The sequence below is a fragment of the Homo sapiens genome, chromosome 4, assembly GCF_000001405.40.
Source record: "Homo sapiens chromosome 4, GRCh38.p14 Primary Assembly".
NCBI classification, from domain to species: Eukaryota; Metazoa; Chordata; class Mammalia; order Primates; family Hominidae; genus Homo; species Homo sapiens.
This window is the reverse complement of record NC_000004.12, coordinates 56,470,900-56,496,389: the sequence shown is the minus strand read 5'-3', so window position 1 is coordinate 56,496,389 and position 25,490 is coordinate 56,470,900. Positions and strand designations below refer to the sequence as shown.

Genomic DNA, 25,490 nt, shown 5'->3' with positions numbered 1-25,490 from the left:
CCTTCCTCAAACTCCACTAAAATGGTAATAAAACACATTAAAGGAAGACAGAAGAAAAGATATTGTCAATAAAATTTTGGTAGCTGGAAAACAGATGGAGGAGTAATAATAAACTGAGCTAAGCCTTGGGAAACCTGTATCCTAAGACGGCAGAGAGCAAAATCAAGAAATAACCTGATTTATATGATAGATTCCTCAAAACCTCAGGAACTTGGGTGGCTCCAAGGATAACATCTGACTAGGTAAAATCAAGCACGGTAATGCCACCCAATTTTTCCAGAGATTAAAGCCACACTCCAAGCCAATCAATGCACATTATTTCCCTGGTTAATAATTCAAGGCTGGACACTGACCTGCTTGGCCCAATCAGATTAATGAGAAATACTTGCCAAGTCTGGAGAGGGCTTCTTTGTTGTGATGGATATAAATGACAAGTATGTGGCCCTGACTGTTTACAATATACATCATATGACTCTAATGGGATTCTGTTTTGTGGAGAGCAGAACAAAGAGGTAAAAATACTGAGTCAACCAACCTTGATGCTAACATTCCTCTAGACTGCCAACTTTATAAACAGTAAATTTTCTTAAGCTAGTTTGATGGAATTTTGTAGTTATGTGTAGCAGAAACATCAAAATGTGTAAGTGCTTACTTTTGTGCCAGGCACCACTCTAAGAACTTTACATGTAGTATCTAATACTACAAGATATATACTATCATATTCCATTTTACATATGAAAAACTCTGGCAGGTATATTAAATAGCCTGTCCACAGTCACAGAGTAAAAGAGGGAGCAACGATTTGAATTTAGGCAAACTAGTGAATTGCGATCTTTAAAGTAATAGAATAAAATTAAATGTTAGCTATAGTCAAGATAAAAAGTTTTCAAAGATACAAGGGAGGGCAGTATATTTATGTCCAAATATTTCTATATAGGGCTAAAATCAAACATTTATTTTGGAGAAAATTTATAAAGACTTTTTTAATGCCTTACCCTTCTTTTTCTTTTTCTTCTTTTTCAAATCTCCCTGTCTACAAAGAGAAAAAAAAATCATTACCATCTTTGTGATAAAATATTTATAGAGCATTAAGTAAGTGCTCTATAAGAGTTAGTTGGGCACTTATCATAAACATGGTTTAAGACTTGGTATCAGCTTACCAAAGCTAACAAATTAGTTAAGATTTGATTCAGGTTAAAGTCAATTAAGCTTCAGATACTATAATTTTTGGAAAGTAGTTTAGAAAACAGAGGTGACAATTCGAAAACAGATTCTGTTTACACTGAAAAAAGTTTTTCAGTGGCACACATTAAGTCTATGTAAAAAGTAATTTGCACAAGCATGACTACCTAGAATCCCTTGGTAAGTTACTCTATGTTTGGCAAGACTTTAGAGAATAAATTTTTTGCCAGAAGAACATGTGTAGGTAAGATACATGCAAAGAATATCTCTGGAAGGAGATTCAAAACAAGTTACGTTGGTTATGGCCCTGGGAGGGAGGTGGGTAGACACGGATGGAAGACTTTTTACTTACTCTTACACTTTTTTATCTTTTGTATTTTAAACCTGTGAGTTTATTAATTTTTTTATGTAAGTAAAATCTATATTAAGTACATTGACCAAAAAAGGCACTAAAAAGGGCATAAAAATTAACACTTCAAAATAATTGTCAAGCATTCTGAAAGTGGCTGGGAACAGTGGCTCACGTCTGTAATCCCAGCACGATGGGAGGCCAAGGCAGGTGGATCACCTGAGGTCAGGAGTTCCAGACCAGCCTGGACAACATAGTAAAACCCCGTCTCTACTAAAAATACAAAAATTAGTTGGGTGTGGCAGTGCGTGCCTGTAATCTCAGCTACTTGGGAGGCTGAGGCAGGAGAATCACTTGAACCAGGGAGGCAGAGGCTGCAGTGAGCGAGATTGCGCCACTGCACTCCAGCCTGAGCGATGGAGCAAGACTCCGTCTCAAAAAAAAAAAAAAAGCATTCTGAAAGCTCTAGTGAAAAGAGAAAAACATAAAAATACATCTCTCTATATATTCTTATGTGATATAACTCGAGAAATATGAAACAGTGAACTAAAAAGATGAGACAACAATTCCTACCAAAAATTCATTCTACAAGTCATTCAATTGTGAACGTTCTCTCAGGATACCCCAAATAAGAAATGCAACATACTGTATCTTACTTGAGTGTTTCATCTCTTACCCAGTGTGCAATAGTATTCTAAATTGTCTCCCTACAAATTATACTCCACAGCCATACTAAAATTTCCCAAGGGTTCTCTGCTATTTCTTATTTCTCTGCCTTAGCTCACCCTTTGCCTACCTCGTCCTCATCTTCCTCAGAGTCAACACAATCATCTTCTCCATGAAGCCTTTCCTAACTTCCCACTGTCCTCAGGAAGAAGTGACTATTCCCTCCGGTGTACTCCTCTATGCCCTGTACAATCACAACAGGTGCAATCTTTATTGCAATTACTGTTTAAATATATTTCCTTCTGCTAGATTCAAGTTCCTTTTTTTTAGACAGAGTCTCATTCGGTCACCCAGGCTGGAGTGCAGTGGTGAGATCTTGGCTCACTGCAACCTCCACCTCCTGGGTTCAAGTGATTCTCCTGCCTCAGCCTCCCAAATAGCTGGGATTATAGACATGTGTCACTACGCCCGGCTAATTTTTGTATTTTTAGTAGAGATGGGGGTTTCACCATGTTGTCCAGGCTGGTTTCGAACTCCTGACCTCAAGTAATCCGCCTGCCTTGGCCTCCCAAAGTGCTGGGATTACAGGCATGAGCCACCACCATGTCAGGGCTCAAGTTCTTTTGAGAGCAAGTACCATGATTTATTTTCTGGTCAACACCTAGCATAAACCTATCACATAGTGTATTGTTAAAGGAAACTAAACCTTTGCATCCAAGTTAGTATAACAAAATACTAACTTCTAATAAGATAAAATAAAGAGCATTAATAATGCATAATGAAAATACTGTGCTGAAACTTAAAAGCTTAAAAAGTCAATGTATATCTTAATGATTGTCTAAGAAAAAAGAGAAAGAAGCCAGGCTTGGTGGCTCATGCCTGTAATCCCAGCACTTTGGGAGGCTGAGGCGGGTGGATCACCTGAGGTCAGGAGTTCAAGACCAGCCTGATCGACATGGTGAAACCCTGTCTACTAAAAATACAAAAATTAGCCAGGCGTGATGGCAGGCACCTGTAGTCCCAGCTACTCAGGAGGCTGAGGCAGGAGAATTGCTTGAACCCAGGAGGCGGAGGTTGCAGTGAGCTGAGATTGAGTCACTGCACTCCAGCCTGGGCAACAGAGCAAGACTCCGTCTCAAAAAAGAAAACAAACAAACAAAAGAAACAAAGATTATTTAAAAAAACTTTTAAAAACTTATTATTTTTAGAGATGGGGGTCTTGCTCTGTCACTCAGGCTGGGGTGCAGTGATGCAATCACTGCTCACTGGAGCCTCAAACTCCTGGGCTCAGGCAATCATCCCGCCTCAGCCTCCCAGTAACTGGAACACAGAGCCACTATGCCAGGCTAAAGAAGGAACTGCGTGTCCTTAGTAGTTACTCAACCCTGTTTGGGGAAGAAAAAAATAGTAAACATACTTTAATTGAAAATCCATTTAAGAACCCAGACTGAATTTATAATTGTAAGATGAAATGGAATTCGGAACAATGTAACCTCTTTGAGACTCCAATTCCTTATTAAAAGTTTTGGAAGTTATTATGAGAACAACAATGCTTTTTATGAAATGCAGAGTTTGTTAGAAAGAAATCAGTCATTGTTGCTGAGTTTTTTTTAAGTTAGGGAAAAATTTAGATTTCAAAAGGCATTCAAAAAAGGAGGAAGTAGCAAAAACTTATAAAAGTCACAAAGCTAAGGAAATGTTTTATCTTTTCCATGCTCTATTCATCCTGAGTCAAAAGTAAAATCTTAAAACATTTTACTGTAGGTCTCTGCTAACTATATTTTTAAGATGACGATGGAAGAAACAAGTCAAAATCTGACTTCTTTTAAGTAGATGAAGCCGACTAACCTTTTCTTCAAATCAGCAAAAGAAATCATATACTAAATGATGTACTAAATGTACAACAATAACTAAAAGGTAAAGGAAGGCACATCCAGCCTATGGAGTGTTATGCATAAAAAGGATGAAATAGGTCCACATTTTAGTACGTGGAAAGATCTCTAAAACTCATTAAATAAAAGTAAGTTGGGAAACACTAAGTACAATACAATCCTCCTTCTGTAAAAAATAACTGGGCGTGGTGCCCAGCACTTTGGGAGGCCGAGGTGGGCAGATCACTTGAGGTCAGGAGTTCAAGACGAACCTGGTCAAAAGGGTGAAACCCTGTCTCTACTAAATGCACAAAAATTAGCCTGTAGTCCCAGCTACTCGGGAGGCTGAGGCAGAATTGCTTGAACCCGGGAGGCGGAGGCTGCACTGAGCCAAGACTGTGCCACTGTACTCCAGCCTGGGAGACAGAGCAAGACTCTGTCTCAACAAACAAACAAATAAAAAAAAAATAGTAATAAATAAACCAATTTAAAGAAAATATTTGTAAACCATCTGTGTGTGTAAACACAAAGAAAAACTTCTGGAATAATAGATTAAATTAATACCAGAGGTTAATTTTGGGCTGAGGGAAAAGGGAAGGAAATAAGGACAAAGAGCTGGGCACAGTGAGAGAAATGGAAAAGGAACAAAGAGAACTAGAACTTTATTCACATGAAATTTCTATGAGAATGTATTTTTTATTCCTTGTCTAATTTAAAATCAGCATTAGAGAACGTTACAATGAAAAATATTACCCTTGTTCCTTTGGTTGACTATCTCCAGTAACTTTTCCACCCTTCTTCCGAATGTATGTAGCACCAGCAGAATTTTCAAGAGCCTCAACATCTACTTTTAGAGACATACTATCTGACGATGGCAAGTGTTTACTAAGACTGTGATAGAACAGGAGTTCAGGAACATAATATACACAAACACACACATTTATATAGATATATATGTTTGCCAATGTATCTATTGACACTGGAAGACTGTCTTTTCTTGATGACCTTCAACAAAAGCAAAAAATGTTCCTAAATCTTCTATACAATAACAAGTCATATCAATTATATAGTACATACAGTATTCTGAAAGGAGAACATGAGGAGTCATAATCTAATTCTCTATTCCTTAACACAGTGATGTGGAGCAAGGTGGTGGCTTAATACAAACTCTATTCCAAAACAACTATCAAGTTTATGACTTGTGACTGCTTAGCATCCACCAACCCACCTCAGTTTTGGGAACACACTCTGATTTAGAGTAGCACATATGATCCAAGCTCAATAAGGGCACCAAATTCGCTTATCAGGTAACTATTTGAGATAAGCAAGTGACCTAAGTAGTTGAATCTGAAAATAACATTTCAGAATCATGCAAAAGTACCCACATAAAATATGCTTTTTCTTTACCTTGCTGCTGATCTTGAACCTGGAGGAAAAGAGGCCATACCCTTTTGACTTCATTTTTGCTTCTGGATGAAACTGAACCCTAAGTTGGATCTATCGCCGCATTTTTCAGTCACACTGATCAATAAATTCTCATTTTTTGGTTTTACTAGTTAAAAGGAGGATTTGTTAGTTGCAGTTTACAATTGAAAAAGCTCTGGTCAAAACACAGATATCAGAAGAGATCTATTGTGCTACTGAGGAGCTGTAAGGAATAACAATCAAAAGGATACGCTTTGGCTTTCTCTGGATCTACAAGTGAGTAAGCAGAAATAAGCTGTGCCAGGGTGTGAATATCTTTTGGATTTTGTCTAAAAGAAGAAATAAGAAAATTATTGAACTGTTTATAAAACTGGAGAAAGTAATATAAACAAGTAACTCCCTCATATCAAGTAGCAACAATAAATGTGTTATTTCTACAACTCCACGTTTCAGAGCTTACTTCCACAGCTGTTGTAGGTCACTAATTGCCTCCTTCTTCCGCCCATATTTGAGTTTGAAGTTTGCAGCTTCTCTTATCAAGGACAAATGAGCAGGAGATTTTGGCTACAGTTTCAATAAAAAGAAAAAAAAAGTTTCAAGTTAAATATCTAGCAAGTGCATGCAGTTATATTCATTAGACCTTTAAGAAATACACCTATGCATTAGATCCCTCATCTTAAGTTTCACTGAATGCCTGAAACAACAAAATCATCCACACATGTAGAGGAAAGCAGGTGGACAAATTATTAATTGTACAAGTAATCACCAATTGATGAATCTGGAAAACAACCTATATCTATTTAGTGTCTACAACTGGAAACATTCCCCTATAATAATCAAATCTTAAAGATATGCCACCATAGTTCTCAAACATTAATTTAATATAATACTTTCCCAGAGCACTGATACCCCTCCACTGCTAACAGTACTAACAGTATAAATGCCACCTGCACAGCGTATGTATAATTTTAAGTTGGATACTGCCCATGCAGAGATCCATACTGGAAATTAAGATATTCCTACTAGATAGAGACATGATAAACAACTATTCCATGTATTACTGTTGTACTAATTACTACCACCCATGGGCTCTCTAGCCATTTAAGACGATCTCTTAAATATGCAATCATGTACTATTATTATTTCTTGAGATTACATACACAAATGCATGTACACATACAGCAAGGAGCTTCAATAAATATAAATGTGCTATTTTTCTATTTTGCAGCCATTGCTTATTTCTAATAACTTAATTTGGATCTGGTATACTAAAAAAATGCATTTGATAATCTAAATAGTATTCCACTTTTAAAATAGTGACGTGTAATACTTGTTTGCCTGAATTTTTTCACTACTCCATCTTTATTTTTATGTAAAAACATGCTCTCATAACATTTTACTCCATTTATTTACCTGATGGTTTTGATACCACTGGATAGCTTGTGTGAAGACCTCAATGGCACTATCAATATCTTCTTCATGGCTATACATGGTAACTAATGCAGATACCTACACAGCCAAAGGTATAAATTAGTGAACTCCCCCTTCACTCCCAGAATACCGCTTTTGAAAATAAAAAACGCTGAAGAAATAGCAAATAAAGGCTCTCCGCTAATACCTGATTTATCATAAAAGCTACTCCCTTTAGAGAACATAGTTAACTTTACTTCTAGAAATACCATGAACAACCGTGTTTTCCAAATATGAAGGTAGATATCTGTAAAATAAAACTTTCCTTTAAAGCAGTGCCAGTTCACAAATGGTTTGGTAAGTACAGAAGTTGAGAATAAGCCCTTAGAAATGTTTCTACAATAAGACACTGCTGGACATTTAAGTGTATGATCAGTGAGGCATACATAGAGCGGCTGAACTCTCATGATGAATCCCATGTGGCATGAGCTGTTTGAAGCCAGTAAAAAGGGTGCCTGGTGTGGCTGAGGGACAGGAAGGAGGCCTACATAGCTGGAGTGGAGGGGGAGGGGGATGCTGAGCAGTAGGAGATGAGGATAGAAAGGAAACAAACAAAAAGCTGGATCTTTAAGAACAATCAGTAAAACTGATAAACCTCTGGACAGGCTAATCAGAGGGAAAAAGAAAAAAATACATGAATAACCAATATCAGGAATGAGAGAGGTTCTATAGATATTAAAAGGACAATAAAGAAATAAAATGAAGAACTTTTATGCCAATAAAGTCAGCAACCTAAATGAAATGGATACATTCCTTGAAAGGTAAAAGGTGGTCATATATTAAATATTAGAAACATTTTATTTTCAGTCATATACTGTATTTGACTCTAAGGTAAAGTAATTATAGCACGATCCTTAAAATATGAATCTTTAAGGGAAAGCACTACCATATTACATTTACTGAGTGCCAACTGCACAGAGGCCATGAGAATGCAAACATGAATAAAACAGCCCCTGTCCAAAAGATGCACATACTACCACTACAGAATTAGTTTCTACTATGGAAAAGATGCTTTCACAGCTGTATTAATGATTGAAACCTGCAATATTTGAATAATCAGAAAACTAAAAACTAAATTTGTTGGCCACAATTATGAAATTGTTCTAATTTAAAGAAATCACACTGACGAAAATGATATAGGCTAAGAAATTCCTATACAGATCTGAGATTATTTGAGGTTGGTTTTCAGTGATACTATAAGGCCTAAATAGTGCCTGGCACATTTGACTGAATAAGAAACCAATACCAGAGCAGAGAATGAAATTAAATTTATACCAGACAACTATTACTATTATAATTACTACTCCTACCTTAAAGTGAATACACATTCGACATATAAATAAAGTGAATACACATTAGACATACAAATTATCAATTCAACTACTTTTCAATTTTGTAATTTTTAAAACTCACCATGCCTGGTTTATGCTTTAACTCCTCTATGCTTCTCAATATTAGACATGCTTTAGAAATATTACCTTAGGAGAATAAACAAAATCAGCATTACATAGAAGAACACATATTATGAAAAAAAAATACAAGAAATTTTACTTCCTCCCACTACTTTTCCTTAGGAAAGCAACCATAACTCATGTTTTGTAACATCGCTAAACATATAAACTTTGGGGTCTTGGGGATGGTGAACTCTGTTCATTTAGAGATAAGGAAATTGAGTTCTAAAGAAATAATATACCTTGCTTAAGCTCACAAAGAAAGTTAATGGCAGAGCTGCTACCAGAAAAGAAGTCTCCCAGCTCCCAGTCTGTTGAGTTCTATTTCTTCTTTTTTGGGCTGTAACTTGAAGGTGGGGGTCCTTCCCTAAAGGCCTTGAAATATGTTACTGTAGACATGAGTGCAATGGAAAATTTCCTATGGTGTTAAATTCTGATTTTGTATTCACTGCAAACCTCAATAACTCAAAATTCCCAGTCTTTAAAAACAAACAAAAAACCATGACAGATTGTCAGTAATTTCAAGATAATAAATAATCCTTGAAAAAATAAACTAAACATAGGAGGAAAGATCAAGTAAAGGGCAAGGAAGAGAAGACAGGGCTGAGGAGAAGGAAAAAGAGACAAGGAAAGCAAAGAAATGTGAGAATTGGATAAGAGGGAGATCAGCAGTGTGTCTCAACCTTATTTTCATTATTGCCCTACTAAGGACATTTTAAACATTTTTTCCCTAACTGCCAACTCCCCTCCTTCAACTCATAAAATTTTCATTTCAGCCACTGTAATATTTAAGATTTTTGTGAAGAATTGTCACCACCATTGAAAATCCACATTCTATACCAGAGCTGTTCGACAGAACTTTTTGTGATGATATAAATGTCCTATATCTGTGCTGTCCAATATTGTAGCCAATGGCTGCATATAGCTACTAAGCTTCTAAGATGTGGCTAGCATAATCAAAGAACTGAATTTAAAATTTCATTTAACTAATTTAAACTTAAAATAGCTGTATGTGGCTAGTGACTACCAAACTGGGCAACATGGCTCTAGATATTCAAAGTTAGATGAAAACCACAGACAAAAACATTGGCAGTTTTAAGATTCAAACACATCAGTTCTCGTTAAATTCTATTACCTTTCCCCAAGCCCAAAGACATAGGTGGCAAAGTGTAAAATGAAGTAAGGATGAAGGGCCAAGCTAAGAAATTCTGAAAACTATGATGCAAAGTAGTCGTACAAATATTACCAAGTGACGGACATAAGCATTTCTGCATGTGACATACTCAGGCAATTTGAGTAGTATGTATGGTCTTTTGGAAGAGAGGAATCCTTTGCTTCAGAACTTTCAAGGCATAGATTAAGAATCATTCTAATAATTTAGGAATAATCCACGAAAAGGGGCAACTACCTCACTACTAAATCTGTTGGAGATCATACAATCTAGCTGCATGTTTGAAACAGTAATTATTATGCTTTACTATTACACAAAAAAACTTAAAATCACATAGTTCACAACTGCTTAATCATTCCAAACATGTTTTCATTAAAATATTTTAATCATGATGAAAACCATAATACCTTGAGAAATTTTCAACTGTGCCATGGTCAGCTTAATTTCAGCTGCATTTTCTGGATGCTGATCTGAAAATTCCTAAATTTTTTTAGTTTGGGGGAAAAAAATCACATTTAATTTACACAACTAATTGTATACATTACAATTACTTAGCTACATAAGATTTTAAATCCAGTTTTAAAACATTAAACTTCTGGCTGCAGGTCAAAATCTTAACTTGGGGAAATTTTTATTCAACACTCACTTTTTTTCTTAAAGGTATGCTCTAAAAGTAAGTGCAATGAAGTCAAGTTTTCTGTAAGTCACTAACAGAGAAATCCATCATCCCTCAGCCACAGGGTATTACTTCCAGAACCACCCCCGATTCCAAAACCCAAGGATGCTCAAGTCCCTTATATAAAAGTATAGTATTTGCGTATAACCTACATACATGCTCCTATACATTTTAAATCATTGCTAGGTTACTTATAATACCTAATACAATGTAAATCCTATGTGTATAGTTGTTATATTATCTAGGGAGTAATGATTTTTAAAGTTTGTATATGTTCAGTACAGAGGCAGTCATACATTTCCAACCTCAAAATGTGCTTTTTTTTTCTGAGGCGGAGTCTTGCTCTGTCACCCAGGCTGGAGTGCAGTGGCGTGATCTCGGCTCACTGCAACTCCGCCTGCCAGGTTCAAGTGATTCTCCTGCCTCAGCCTCCCACGTAGTTGGAATTACAGGAATGCGCCACCATGCCAGGCTAATTTTTTGTATTTTTAGTAGAGATGGGGTTTCAACATGTTGGCCAGGCTGGTCTTGAACTCCTGACCTCAGATGATCTGCCTGATTGGGCCTCCCAAAGTGCTGGGATTACAGACGTCAGCCACTACGCCTGGCGACCCCCACAAAATGTTTTTAATCCATGGCTGGTTGAATTCTTGGATGCAAAACTCAAGAATACAAAGGGTCAACTATAATAAAGATTACTAAATAGATTTTTTTTTTTTTTTTTTTTTGCTGTGGGGAGAGAAGGGGCGGTGTCTCTTCACTGAGTGTCCCTGTTAGGCAATTTTGTCTGTCAGGATGATCCTAATTGTACCTGTCCAACTTTCCAATGTAGTTTATATTCAAGAAATTTAAATATGCAATATAATAGCTGGTTTGGGTTGATAAAAACAAAGTCAGTATCTCCATAATTGAGGTTCTGGAGTAGAACTCACTGGAGATCAGATTATTGCAAAAGAGGTTAAGTATGTTCTGGAATTATACATGCCTAAATGATCCCCTAACTCAGGTTAAACAGATCTCCAAACAAAACAGCATTCTTCAGCATTTATAACAAATATTTACATTATAGAAATTTATATAACACAAAGAAATTTATATAAAGCTCTGTAACCCAAGAGTTAACTAAAATGACAATGAAATTTGTGTAGTGGTACATTTCTGATTAGTTTTCCCATTAAATTTACATGCTAGTAGGTTATTACAACACAATGAAAATGAAACAAAGCTGCAAATGTCTGACACCTCATTCAAGTAATTATTTTACCTGAAGCAGCTCTATTGCTTTTGTGTGCTGCTTTTCACGGCAGAGCTGGGCAGCTTGGATTAACACAGGTAAGAGATGCTCGGGACTTTGGGACTGTAAACTGGCAGATATTTTGCGGCATTGTTCAGCCTAGAAGATATCCAACCCCCACAAGAAAAATAAACTGGTTAATGAAATTAAACACTAAATGACCAGAAAGAAAAGAAACATGGGAAAATCAGTTGAAACAAATATTAACCAAAGAACTGCCTAGGGTAAGAGAATCAGTTTACAGTATCTATTCTCAATTTTTTCTTGTAAGAAAATGGTTTCCATTTATTGAATTTAATCTATGAGCTCTAAGAGTCTTTAGTAAAGGAGAAATTCTAAACATTCACTTGGATGCCTAAATTCTAGAACTGTTTAAAAAAATCAAACACATCAAATATAAGCATTTGCTTCAAAAACAACAAAATGCATATATGTATTTTTTGCTACATTATTAAGAATAACTTGACTCAGTTCTAAATAATAAAAACATTACTGTCTCTCGGCCGGGCGTGGTGGCTCATGCCTGTAATCCCAGGACTTTGAGAGGCTGAGGTGGGCAGATCACGAGGTCAGGAGATCAAGACCATCCTGGCTAACATGGTGAAACCCCGTCTCTACTAAAAATACAAGTAAATTAGCCAGGCGTGGTGCTGGGCGCCTGTAGTCCCAGCTACTCGGGAGGGTGAGGCAGGAGAATAGCGTGAACCCAGGAGGCAGAGGTTGCAGCGAGCCGAGATGGCACCACTGCACTCCAGCCTGGGCGACAGAGCGAGACTCCATCTCAAAAAAAAAAAAAAAAAAAAAAAAATTACTGCTTCTCTGTCTCCCACTAAAACTTCTGCTCTAAAACAGTATAAAATTAGAATTAGAATGCTTACTGGAGTTAGAATTGACTTCCTTAACATTTATAACTTGATGTGATTATACACAGCAAAAATGAAAGATGGGTCTTAAATCTATAATCATGGCTAGCATCTTTGATGATTTTATCTTAATTCAGATTAGAAATAAGGTAATGAGAAAGTTATCTCATTTAAAGGTGTGAATACTGTTTTCTTCCCCTTAAAAGGTGTCAACCCTACACCCTTATAAGAAATTGGGCAAATTACTTGTTTAATAAATAAAATCTATGACACATAATATTCTTTCTTTTTTTTTTTTCTTTTTGGAGACAGTCTCTCTCTGTTGCCCAGGCTGGAGTGAAGTGGCACAATCTCAGCTCACTGCAAACAATTCTTGTGCCTCAGTCTCCAGAGTAGCTGGGACTACAGGCATACACCACCATGTAGAGACAGGGTTTCACCATGTTGCTCAGGCTGGTCTCGAACTCTTGAACTCAGGCATTCCGCCCACTTCAACCTCCCAAAGTGCTAGGATTACAGGCATGAGCCATTGTGCCCAGCCAATAATATATATAATATTTTGAGGAAGGCAAAAAAATATATTTATGAGTTGAAGACAAAATACAAACAAAAACTATAAAAAGATTAGACTAATATCCCTATTACTCCTCATATACCATATTACAAAAGGTTTAGCCATGACACCAAAGGTAATTACCCACCTGGTTTGTGTACATAGCAAGTAAAGCTTTGTTAAATTCTATAGCTTGTAGTTGTTTCTTGGAAAGCTTAAACTCTACTCCTTCCGCATTGGTTAATTTCACTTTCTTCTTGGAGTCAAAGACATTTTGGTCCTAACAAAGAAAAGTTTATCTATCATTAACAGAATCTCAGATTTCAACTTATTCCTTTTTCTATTAACTTTATATAGATACAGCAGGAGAGCTTGAATCTATCTACCTGATTGGGGTGCCTAAGCTAATAAGATGCATATAAATTTATCCTGATTCACAGAAGTAATTCAAATCTACTCTTTTTGAATCTCTGCAATTCAAATCTACTCATGTACATATAGTTATCCCAGAATCTACCCCCACTCCTTTTAAAGCCTTCTCAAAGGAGGCTTCCTAGGTATAAAAAGGCTTAACAAGTGAACTGCTTTAAAGAAATGGAGAACAAGATTTGTTTTATTTTTCCACTATTAATTGCTTGTTTTGAGCTTTTTGAAGGAAAAAAAGGGACAGCACAAATTGAAGTGTATTAGGACTACAAAAATACCTAACTTGGCAATTTCTACAAGCTATGCCCTCTAGAATTTAGATGATAAATAAAAAGTAACTCACTCCTCTTCAAAATACAGAAATATCTTGGAGATATTTCGTGTTTGGTTCCAGACTACCGCAATAAAGCAAATATTACAATAGAAGGAGTCACAGATTTTTTGGTTTCCCAGTGCATATAAAAGCTATGTTTACACTATATTGTTGTCTATTAAGTGTGCAACAGCATTATGTCTGAAAACAAGTACATACCTTTTTTTTTTTTGAGATGGAGTCTCGCTCTGTCACCCAGGCTGGAGAGCAGTGGCACAGTCTCAGCTCACTACCAGCTCCGCCTCACGGGTTCACGCCATTCTCCTGCCTCAGTCTCCCGAGTAGCTGGGACTACAGGTGCCCGCCACCATGCCTGGCTAATTTTTTTTTTTTTGTATTTTTAGTAGAGATGGGGTTTCACCGTGTTAGCCAGGATGGTCTCGATCTTCTGACCTCGTGATTCGCCCACCTAGGCCTCCCAAAGTCCTGGGATTACAGGCGTGAGCCACTGTGCCCGGCCCAGTACATACCTTTATTTAAAAATACTTCAATGCTAAAAAATACTGATACAGAGATATGAAATGGACACATGCTGTTAAAAAAATGATACCACCATGGCCAGGCACAGTGGCTCACGCCTGTAATCCCAGCACTTTGGAAGGCAGAGGTGGGTGGATCACCTGAGGCCAGGAGTTCGGGACCAGCCTGGCCAACATGGTGAAACCCCCATCTCTACTAAAAATACAAAAATTAGCTGGGTGTGGTGGCACACGCTAGTCCCAGCTACTCAGAAGGCTGAGGCAGGAGCACTGCTTGAACCTGGGAGGTTGCAGTGAGCTGAGATCCCACCACTGCACTCCAGCCTGGGCAAGAGAGCGAGACTCCATCTTAAAAAAAAAAAAAAAAAAAAAGGAGCCAACAGATATGCTCAACACAGAGTTGCCACAAACCTTCAATATGTGAAAAACTTACAAAGTGTAATAAAGTAAAGCACAATAAAATGAGGTATGCCTGTAGTGACTCTGTAAGGCAATCATGAAACCTCAGAAACATATCTGTACCACTTTTGAACCCATTTTTTTTTTAGCAGAAAATACTCATGTAACATATCTACTGTTTTTCCTTTCCTAAAGCCCCTTCTTCTTAGCCAAGCAAAAGCATAAAGAAGCTCAATTTCTAAAATTCCCATGTGGGGGCACAGTGTTATCTGCCCAAAGAAAGTCCTATTAAGAATTATTGAAAGTCACATACATCTCCAAAAAAAGGGAGAAAACTAAGTCACACTGATTGCATCCTGAGAAGCACAAACTGAGCATGTGAGTATCTACTTTGTGCACAATACTCTAGCTTTGTAAAACAATGTATTTACTTGCAAATACATGATACCACTGTGCTTTTTTAAACCAGGTCTTCTACCAGTTTAAAGACAAAAAGGAAGCGAAAAAAATCTAAAATAAATTCTACTTTTTCTTACTGTCGAGCTCCAAACCAATTTGAAACTACTTTAATGTACAGCAAGAAACTGCCTTTCATATAAATCAATCCTAAAGAAACCGTATTTTCTAGCTGGTTCTCTCATGTCGCAATTTTAATACTTCAATTAATTGTGCACGTCACTGCCAGACTTTTCTTAAACTTGATTTCCAAGGCCCTGATATAGTTCAATCTAATCTACTTTTTAAACTATCCAGCAAATACATACCCTCTTCTGTGTTCTCACTTTTCCCCTACAAATCATAAATATTTCTTCATATGTACTTTTTTTTGTGCTGTTGCTTAACCTTCAAACCACAGTCCTCCTTCAAGGGTCAGCTCAAACTTGCCAAACCAGAGATCCTTCCGTTCACCAAATGTAGTATTAAATATATAGTTATAAAGTATACGGACAAAAAATTTAAACATGAACAATTTTTTTCAACACCAGAAAGAGATTTTAAACTATGTGATGATGCTTTGTATTTTTCATTACCTATTGCATCCAGTACTATTTTGAAAAAGTCAGAAATACCCACTGACTAAAGAAAGTTCAGTGTATAAGTTATGTTCAGACTGAGATATTTAGTATCTCACATGCTCTCTTCCCCTACAATTATGTATGTCAGATAAAAAGAATTTGTCCTGGCTGGGTGTGGTGGCTCATGCCTATAATCCCAACACTTTGGGAGGCTGAGGCAGGAGGATCACTTGAGATCAGGAGTTTGAGACCAGCCTGCCCAACATGGTGAAACCCCATCTCTACTAAAAATACAAAAATTAGCCGGGTGTGGTGGCACGTGACTGTAGTCCCAGCTACTCGGGTGGCTGAGGCATGAGAATCACTTGAACCCGGGAGGTGGAGGCTGCAGTAAGCCGAGATTGTGCCACTGCACTCCAGCCTGGGCAACAGAGACTCCATCTTGGGGGAAAAAAAAATTTGTCCTGACAAGCATTTCAAAATTCATAAACATAGGCAGGTATATATTTTTGCCAAGATTCAAAGGCTAGTATCAATGTTTGGAAATCTATACCATACCAATGGCCAACAGCAACCTCCCATGATTACTACCCCTTTTAATGCCATTATCTACATCCAAAGATACACTACATTTCTGCCACAGGAGAGAAGAACCACTAAGTAGTAGAAGGGGAAAGCTTTGAAGTCAGAAACTAGAATCTGAATCCAAGTTTTTCCTCTTATGAAGTAGGCTATGACCTTATACAAATTACTTAACTACTTTTAGTCTCAGATTATACTCCTACAGAGATAAGGACTACCACCTAAAAAGATTATTGAGAGGAAGAAATAAGGTGGTACTTGAAAAATCACATGGTATATCAAGATAAATTGTATGTTCAAATGTTACTTTTCTTACTTTCCACTGACTTGGATTTCAATTGTGACCTTGAAATGTTTTTCCAGGCTGGGTGTGGTCGCTCACCCCTGGAATCCCAGCAATTTGGGAGGCTGAGGCAGGAGGATTTGTTGAGCCCAGGAGTTTAAAGACCAGCCTGGGCAACATGGCAAGACTCTGTCTCTACAAATTTTTTTTTAAATTAGCCGGGCATGGTGGTGTGTACCTGTGGTCCCAGGTACTTGGGAGGACTGTCTGGGGCTATAGTGAGTCATGTCTGCACCACTGCCCTCCAGCCTGGGTGACAGTCTCAAAAAAAAAAAAAAAAAGAAAGAAAGAAAAATAAAGCTTTTTCCATTAGAGTGTTCCTGGCCGGGCACGGTGGCTCACGCCTGTAATCCCAGCACTTTGGGAGGCTGAGGTGGGCGGATCACGAGGTCGGGAGAATGAGAACATCCTGGCTAACATGGTGAAACCCCGTCTCTACTAAAAATACGAAAAATTAGACAGGCATGGTGGCGGGTGCCTGTAGTCCCAGCTACTTGGGAGGCTGAGGCAGGAGAATGGCGTGAACGCGGGAGGCGGAGGTTGCAGTGAGCCGAGATCGTGTCACTGCACTCCAGTCCGGGCGACAGAGCGAGACTCGGTCTCAAAAAAAACAAAACAAAAAAGAGTGTTCCTAATGGTGGCTAATGACATTAGTACAGTACTCTAAGTTAAGAGTGCTTATATATATATTTATAGTATTTTACATGGGATGGGGTGTGGGGGAGAAGAAAGAGCACCTGTCCATACCCCCTAAAAAAAGAAAACCCGAGAGAAAATTATATAAAGAACACTTTCACATTCAGATTCCATAGACGAAGAAATCATATAAAACATGCGTATACTTAAAAGTTTAAAAGCCCCAATAATTTATATCTCTTACAAAGAGAGAGTCTCTATACTATTAGATGCTGGGAAAAGGGGAGGATCTTAAAGTCTAGGGTCTACTACAAAAGGTTTTATTACTTGAGTATACCTTGCAGCATCATTATCATTAGGAGAGTTAAGTAATACTATCCATTGTGATTTTGCTACAACTGGACTTTTTTCATCATGTTAAAAAGAACACTTAGGCTATCCTAGAACAAAACTAAAACTAGGGTGATGAGCTTTCAGGGTAAAATATATCTATGGAAAGCACAAATACTCCATACCTTGTTAATGGTAATGATGTTATTTGCAATTACAGCTAGTAATCCCACATCTGTTGGTCTGTGAACAACAAGCAACAGTCAAAACCAAACAAACCTTTAAAAAGAACCCCATCCCCTATAAAAGACACTTCCTTTTAATAACTCACTTTAGTTTTATTATTTGATTGTAAAGTTGCAAAGCCTCCTCTGTTCGACCCTGAAGCTGCAGAATATAAGCCATCTGACCATGAATGATGGCCAGTTCTGCCTGTGGGTCTTCCTCAGTCCCATCCTAAGAGAAAGAAATGTTTTTCCCATATAAATTTTCCAAACTGATCTACATATTTTCCAAATGACCCAAACATTCAAAAGAGATACAATCCTGAAGACACATAATTTCAGAAATTTTCCCTTAGAGTCAGTTCTTTAGAAACAGCCAGCAAGAGAGAAGTTTAAGTGAAAACAGCAAAAAGACTTCAACTTCTAAGAAGTATCTAAAGAAAAAAAAAAAAAAAAGAAAAGGCAAAAAGATCCTAGAAGAACATGGTAACAAGTTTAGGACTACCATTTATTGATCATTATCATCCTCTAAAGCCCAAGAATTAAAAAACGTAAGTAAAAAACAAGCATGGAAGTATATCTTTTTATAATGATATCCCTAAATTCTGGAAACATAATTTTCTCATAAAAATCACATTTAAAAATGCTTTTCTCTCTATTCTACCATAACTCTACCTCAAAAACTAGAAAATTCCAATTAACACCATACAAAAAAACTTCAAAAGCTGGAACTAATTCTGTACTTTAATCCTGTAATTGAACAAATTCTGTAATTAAAGTAGTAGCTCTCTTAACCGATGCTCCAGATTAATCCACATTTCTCCTTTCCTTCTGAAAAGGCTGTACAATGAATACTCAAGACTAGGAGACAACAGTCCTTTAATGACCCAACACTCCTGCTCTCACCTGGTGAGTATCTGCTGACCAGGAGTCAGATATGTTTGTTTCCAAACCCATTATGCAGTTGTGTTTGATGAGGAAATGATAAAACTTAAAAATATTAAAGAGAAGAACTATGGGCTGGGCATGGTGGTTCACGCCTGTAATCTCAGTGCTTTAGGAGGCTGAGGTGGGAGGGTCGCTTGAGGCCTGGAGTTTGAGATAAGCCAAACTTGTCAACACAGCGAGACCCCCATCTCTACAAAGAAGAAAATAATTAGCTGGGCATGGTGGTGCTACTCAGGAGGCTGTGGTGAGAGGATTGCTTGAGCCCAGGAGTTTGAGGTTACAGTGACCTATGATCATATCACAGCAATCCAGCCTGGGTGAAACAGCAAGATCCTGTCTCAAAAAAAAAAAAAAAAAAAAAGAGAGAGAGAGAGAGAGAACTATGAATGTGAAAAGAGACATATTTCAATGTAAATCATGTTGAATACTCAGAAAGATACGGTAAACGTAAATTCCTAAAGAAAATTATTGTCTAATTAGTTGTGAGCCAAAAAATGGTAAGAGATTGGTAAAAAACAAACAACAAAAAAAAAACATAAGGACTCTATAATGGAAGTGCTTACCAACTGTATTTAAGATATTGTTACACTTAAAAAGAAAAACCAAAAGTGTAAATTGGGAATGTTGAATTATGTCACTACATAAGAAATATACATGGAACTCCTAGGAGCAGACCAGTCCTCAAAGACCTTAGTCCTACATCCTAAAATGGGGGAATAAATTTACATTATATAAATGTATAATCAAGTGCTTAAGGTTATGTCAAAATTTTTTGTATTGTGATTTCTCACTCTAGTAGACTTCATCAAATAACTGATACTAGAGGGTGGTTTCTAGTGTGATTCCTACTTAATGAATTGCCATCTTCTAAAAAAAGTCAATAAATAGTACAATGAAGCCTCAGTAATCTATCATAGTCAGAAGTGTAAAATTTAGGTTTAACAATGATGGAATACTTACAGTGTCTTCTGATAATGAACGGCGGCAAAGATCTACAGGAGAAAAATTGTTTTAAAAGTAGTATTGCTGGGTAAATCCCATTTCTTTCACTATTCCAAAGAGCAAGATCTAAATTCCTAAGCAGAAGATTCCAAGATAATCGTAGTAACAAGCAGTTGTGAAATTTACATTAGCATCAAATATACTACATATATATTATCAGTCTCTTGACTTTCCCAGCTCTTTGGCACTTTGCTTTCATTTGTTGTGTCTGTGCTAAAAATATTTGTAAAGTGCATTAAAAAATACAAATGTAGTAAATATTAATTGCGAAAAATCAATTATAGAAAAGTATAAAAATAAACAATCCTACCACCCAGAGATAAACACTACTAGCATTTCAGTTATTTAGTTTTTTAATATTTTTTTTGTTTGTTTTTAAAGTTGGAGGTCTCACTCTGTTGCCCAGGCTGGAGTGCAGTGGCTTAATCATAGCTCACTGCAGCCTTGAAATTCTGGGCTCAAGTGACCCTCCCACCTCCGCCTCCCAAGTAGCTGGGACTATAGCTGTGAGCCACCATACCTGGCTTAGTTTTATGTAAATGCACAGCTGCATTTTAAAATGAAAGTGAGACACGGTGCATACTATTTTGAAACCTCCCTTCCCCATTCAATATCCTGTGGATATCTTTGTTACAATAAACATAGATCTACATTACTGTATCTTTTTTAATGTTATTGGTTGTAGTGACTGTAATTACTTTGTGATTATGGTAAAATTTAGCCAATCCTTTAATAGTACAGAACTTTATGCTGTTTCTAAATTTCTGTTCTTATGAATATTCCTTCAATGAACATTCACACAGACACATACGTAAATTTATCTAATCATTTCCTCAAGTTTCTAGAAGTGAAATTATTGGATCAAAGGGTAGGTAAATTTAAAATCTGCTACACATCACCAAACTGCTCACTGAAAAGTCTGTATTACTCTTACATTCAAACCCACAATGTATGAGAATGTTCTTCATTGGGTATGATCAAGAAATTATAATTCTGCCAGGTGCAGTGGCTCACACTTGTAATCCCAGCACTTCGGGTGGTCAAGGTGGGTGGGTCACTTGAGGTCAGGAAATTATAATTCTTTTTTTTTTTTTTTTTTGAGACAGCGTCTCACTCTGTCACCCAGGCTGGAATACAGTGGTATGATTTCAGCTCACTGGAGCCTCAACCTCCTAGGCCCTCCTAGGCCCTGCTGCCTCAGCCACCAGAGTAGCTGGGAATACAGGTGTGTACCACCACACTCGGCCACATATATATTTTTTTTTTGTAAAAACGAAGGCTTACTATATTACCCAGGCTGGTCTTGAACTGCTAGGCTCAAGCAATCCTCCTGCCTTGGCCTCCCAAAAGTGCTGGGATTATAGGCGTGAGCCACTGCACTCAGCCAAAAAAATTATAATTCTTAAACAGATTTTTCTTCTCATGAGGCTCTAACCTTTGTTCTTATTTTAACTTTCAACATTTGACAGTAAACTGTGATCTCATTTTAACCCCTAATATTTAACAGTAAAACAGACTTTGTTTCACCTTTTTTTCCACCCCAGTGATCACTGCAGTACCTACATCACTTTTATAGCTTCCAGGGAAAAATTTATGCACAAGCAAAGTCAAAATGTTCACGTTAATACCTGACACAGTTCTCTAATAAATTAATTTTTTTCTTAATTAAAAGCTTCAGCTGGGCACAGTGGCTCACGGCTGTAATCCCAGCACTTTAGGAGGCCAAGGCAGGCAGATCACTTGACGACAGGAATTTGAGACTAGCCTGGCCAACATGGCGAAAACCATCTCTACTGAAAATACAAAAATTAGTTGGGCATTTCTGGCATGCGCCTGTGATCCCAGCTACTTGGGAGGCTGAGGCACAAGAATTGCTTGAACCTGGGAGGCGGAGGGTGAAATGAGCCTGGCCAATATGGTGAAACCCCATTTCTACTAAACATACAAAAATTAGCTGGGTGTGGTGACGCGCACCTATAATCCCAGCTACTCGGGAGGCTGAGGCAGGAGAATTGCTTGAACTCGGGAGACAGAGGTTGCAGTGAGCCGAGATCGTGCCATTGTACTCCAGCCTGGGCAACAGGGTAAGATTCTGTCCCACTCCATAAAAAAAAAAAAGAGAGAGAAAGACGACAGGAACTTGGAGAAATTGTCACTGCATCAATAACTTCCATTTAATAATTTCACAGAAGTCAAATGCAATTTTAGAAGATACTCTACAAAGTTATATGCACGTTATATTTACAGATAAGTTTAACAAACTTCCAACCTTCAGCTTTTTGTAGGATTTTCATGGCCTGGTTCAGCTGGCCTTGGCCTATCAGTGCACATGCAGTGTTGTAGCACAGCTCATGTGTGCCTTCTTGGAGGCCCAGGTTCTCCTGTCAGGGGACAAAATACCAGTTAAATACTAAATATGAATAATAATTCATGACTGTATGGGTACACCACAAGGATACTCACTGGAACCACTTTTTCCCAATTGCTTTGAGCTGCAACAACTGCTGAAAGGTTTGTTTTCCTCTCCTCATCATAATCATCTTGGGAGTTTCGGACGAGATCTCTATACACTGCTAAGCATTCATCATAGCGTTCCAAACGGTATAACTGAATAATAAATAGCAAGTAAAAAATCAGAGACAAATATGGTGTTATGTCTTTAATATCATGCAAACCTTTTTTGGAACCACTAAGTAGGAATCCTAGTTCAGCATAACATGAACAATCAACTGTTTATGTTTTATAATTTTTAAATAGTTCCATGTACTAGTCATACTTTCAAATAAATTACTTTTTGAAAATACTTTTAAAATGAATTTTCACTATATTGTGGTTCTGTAGGCAGGATTCAGTTGAGAAAAGTCATTTTCTTTCTTTTCTTTTTCTTTTTTTTTTGAGACGGAGTTTCGCTCTTGTTGCCTAGACTGGAGAGCAATGGCGCGATCTTGGCTCACTGCAACCTCCACCTCCCTGGTTCAAGAGATTCTCCTGCCTCAGCCTCCCGAGTAGCTGAGATTACAGACGTGCGCCACCATGCCTGGCTAATTTTGTATTTTTAGTAGAGATGGGGTTTCTCCATGGTCAGGCTAGTCTCAAACTCCCAACCTCAAGTGATCCGCCCACCTCAGCCTCCCAAAGTGCTGGGATTACAGGCGTGAGCCACCGCACCCGACCCAGAAAACTGATTTTCTTTTTTTTTTTTTGAGATGGAGTCTCGCTCTGTCACCCAGGCTGGAGTGCAGTGGCGCGATCTCGGCTCACTGCAAGCTCCGCCTCCCAGGTTCATGCCATTCTCCCGCCTCAGCCTCCCGAGTAGCTGGGACCAGGCGCCCGCCACCACACCTGGCTAATTTTTTGTATTTTTTAGTAGAGATGGGGTTTCATCATGTTAGCCAGGATGGTCTCGATCTCCTGACCTCATGATCCGCCCGCCTTGGCCTCCCCAAGTGCGAAAAGTGATTTTCTTTACCTTTCTTCTTGAAATTAGTAAAGTGCCTAAATAGGTTGTGAAAGAACACCTTTCTATAGGTCTAGGTAACCCTGTTACCTAGATCTAAAATTACAATGAAAATATTTTTCCACAACACAAAATGATTACTAAAATAGGAACAAAATTAAATGTTAAGAAAAAGACTTAATGTTTCCTAGGAGTTCGCTATAATCTTCATTTTATCTTTCTCAGAAACCAGCTATCACACAGGTGAGTCTCAAGCAGACACAATAGAATTCCTACTGATTTCATTCAAGTTGTGCTCAAAGAACAACAACTGCCACTCTAGGTCAATTAGTCCATTATGTATGACACAGGCTGATGTCCTTAACCTCAAAATGCTAGAATTTACCCTAAAGTTATCCAGTTTACCTTAAAAGTTTTTTATAGACCTACAATCCATGAATTTGTCCAAATCTATCTTCAACTCATTTGTATTATTAAATCCATACTACCTCCTGAGGACAATACATTCAATACAACATTATTTGCCCTAAATTGACATTTAAAAGTCTTTAAGAGGAGGCCAGGCATGGTGGCTTACACCTGTAATCCCAGTACTTTGGGAGGTCAAGGCAGGCAAATCACTTGATGCTGGGAGTTTGAGACGAGCCTAGGCAACATGGCATAACCCCATCTCTACTAAAAAATATAAAAATTAGCTGCACGAGTTGGCACATGCCTGTAATCACAGCTACTTGGAAGGCTGAGGCAGGAGAATCGCTTGAACCTGGGAGTCAGAGGCTGCAGTGAGCCGAGATAGTGCCACTGCACTCCAGCCTGGGAAACAGAGAGACTCCATTAAAAAAAAAAAAAAAAAAAGAAAAACTTTAAGAGGGTTTTGCTAGCTGTAAGATACACATTTCTGTCCTCTTGTCATTAACAGCCCTATTTTACATTAGGGTTAATTTTATGTCTCAAAATACTTTAAAATATTTTCACAATTTCATGGGCTAGAATCATCTAAATTCTTATCTATCATGACATCCTTAGAGTAAAATATTAGTGAAATAGTATTTCAAATCTGTTTAATATACAAGCTCAATGTGCTTCATCTTTCTAACTCAAAAGTCAAAATTAAACAGATTAGTTCATTTTCTTTGATTTTCTGATTACCTGAGGAAGTCATTTGTTCATAGCACATTATATATGCAACTGTTTGTATGAAGATCAAGAAGAGGAATTATGTTCAAACCTTAAGGACTGGTTTGGTGGTCAGTTTTGTGGAGCATCAGGATGGGCTGGGTTTCCTCAACCCTGCTCCTTGCTAGAGGTAGTCATGCTCACTCAGTATCACTGTCAACATGTATTTAAAAGCAGTAATTACCACTTGTCCATAAAGCTCCTTCAGTTTGTCTGTCTGCTGGTTGGCACTTTCTATTGTCTTCAAGGCATTCTCAATTCTGTTCAGCCTGTACTCGCAATATGCCTTTTCAAAGGAGAGAGAGTTACTGAAGAAGGAAAAAAAAACAGTATCTGATTATTATCTAACAATGCAATGCACCCATTATATACAACACCACTCTAAACACTGGATTTAGTCCTGATAACAGATGAGAAAACTGACAAAGGTTAGAGACTTGTCTAAATATCAGATAGCTTGTAAATGTATATCAATCAAACATATAATTAAGCATATATCAACTTCCCTAGCCTCTCTTTCATGGATATTGTTATTAAAATTATTGGCCTTTTGAAATAAACATTTAAGAAGGAAATCATTCATCTGCTAAATAAGTAATTGTCTTAGATACAAAGATAATCTGAAGGATGTTAAATGGGTTGTTTTAGAAGTTTCTTAAATTCATTAACAAAACAATAAGCCATATTTCTTTAAACTTGTTTAAGAAACAAATGATTAGCAAAGAAACAGTAACTAGAAATCTTAAAAGAAGTACCTGTAATCAAACAACTGGTAAACACTACTAACATACACACACTTAAAAATTCATCTACATTAATGTGATACCTCATTGTTGATGTTTCAACCATAATCCATGAGGAAAAATATTTATCAAAGCAAAGGCTAATGTCCTTTATTTACTTACCTAACAAAAAATTTATTTTTGAGCCAGGTGTGGTGGCTCATGCCTGTAATCCCAGCACTTTGGGAAGCCAAGGTGGGCAGATCACTTGAGGTGAGGAGTTCAAGACCAGCCTGGCCAACACGGCAAAACCCTGTCTCTACTAAAATTACAAAAATTAGCTGGGCGTGGTGGTGCACATCTGTAATCACAGCTACTTGGGAGGCTGAGGCAGGAGAATCGCGTG

At 37.5% G+C, this 25,490-nt stretch overlaps 1 protein-coding gene across 4 annotated transcripts in view; it reads right to left on the bottom strand.

Moving 5' to 3' along the window:
• SRP72 (signal recognition particle 72) overlaps positions 1-25,490 on the bottom strand; it is a 36,065-nt gene that overhangs the window by 7,292 nt on the left and 3,283 nt on the right. The window contains exons 3-18 of one of the 4 annotated variants that reach the window (NR_151856.2): positions 24,547-24,670; positions 22,193-22,336; positions 21,999-22,110; positions 19,688-19,719; positions 17,887-18,011; positions 17,741-17,798; positions 13,120-13,251; positions 11,526-11,654; positions 9,993-10,065; positions 8,377-8,441; positions 6,907-7,002; positions 5,954-6,057; positions 5,745-5,822; positions 4,822-4,959; positions 2,328-2,441; positions 996-1,033 (exon numbers count right to left, since the gene is read on the bottom strand). Coding sequence is in view for 3 of the 4 variants with exons in the window: in NM_006947.4 (NP_008878.3) it covers positions 996-1,033; positions 4,822-4,959; positions 5,745-5,822; positions 5,954-6,057; positions 6,907-7,002; positions 8,377-8,441; positions 9,993-10,065; positions 11,526-11,654; positions 13,120-13,251; positions 17,741-17,798; positions 17,887-18,011; positions 19,688-19,719; positions 21,999-22,110; positions 22,193-22,336; positions 24,547-24,670 (1,448 nt within the window). In the remaining variant the exon portion in view is untranslated. Of the gene's footprint in view, positions 1-995; positions 2,442-4,821; positions 4,960-5,744; positions 5,823-5,953; positions 6,058-6,906; positions 7,003-8,376; positions 8,442-9,992; positions 10,066-11,525; positions 11,655-13,119; positions 13,252-17,740; positions 17,799-17,886; positions 18,012-19,687; positions 19,720-21,998; positions 22,111-22,192; positions 22,337-24,546; positions 24,671-25,490 lie in introns of those variants that run through there. The other 3 variants (NM_006947.4, XM_024454192.2, NM_001267722.2) reach the window with 3 other exon arrangements.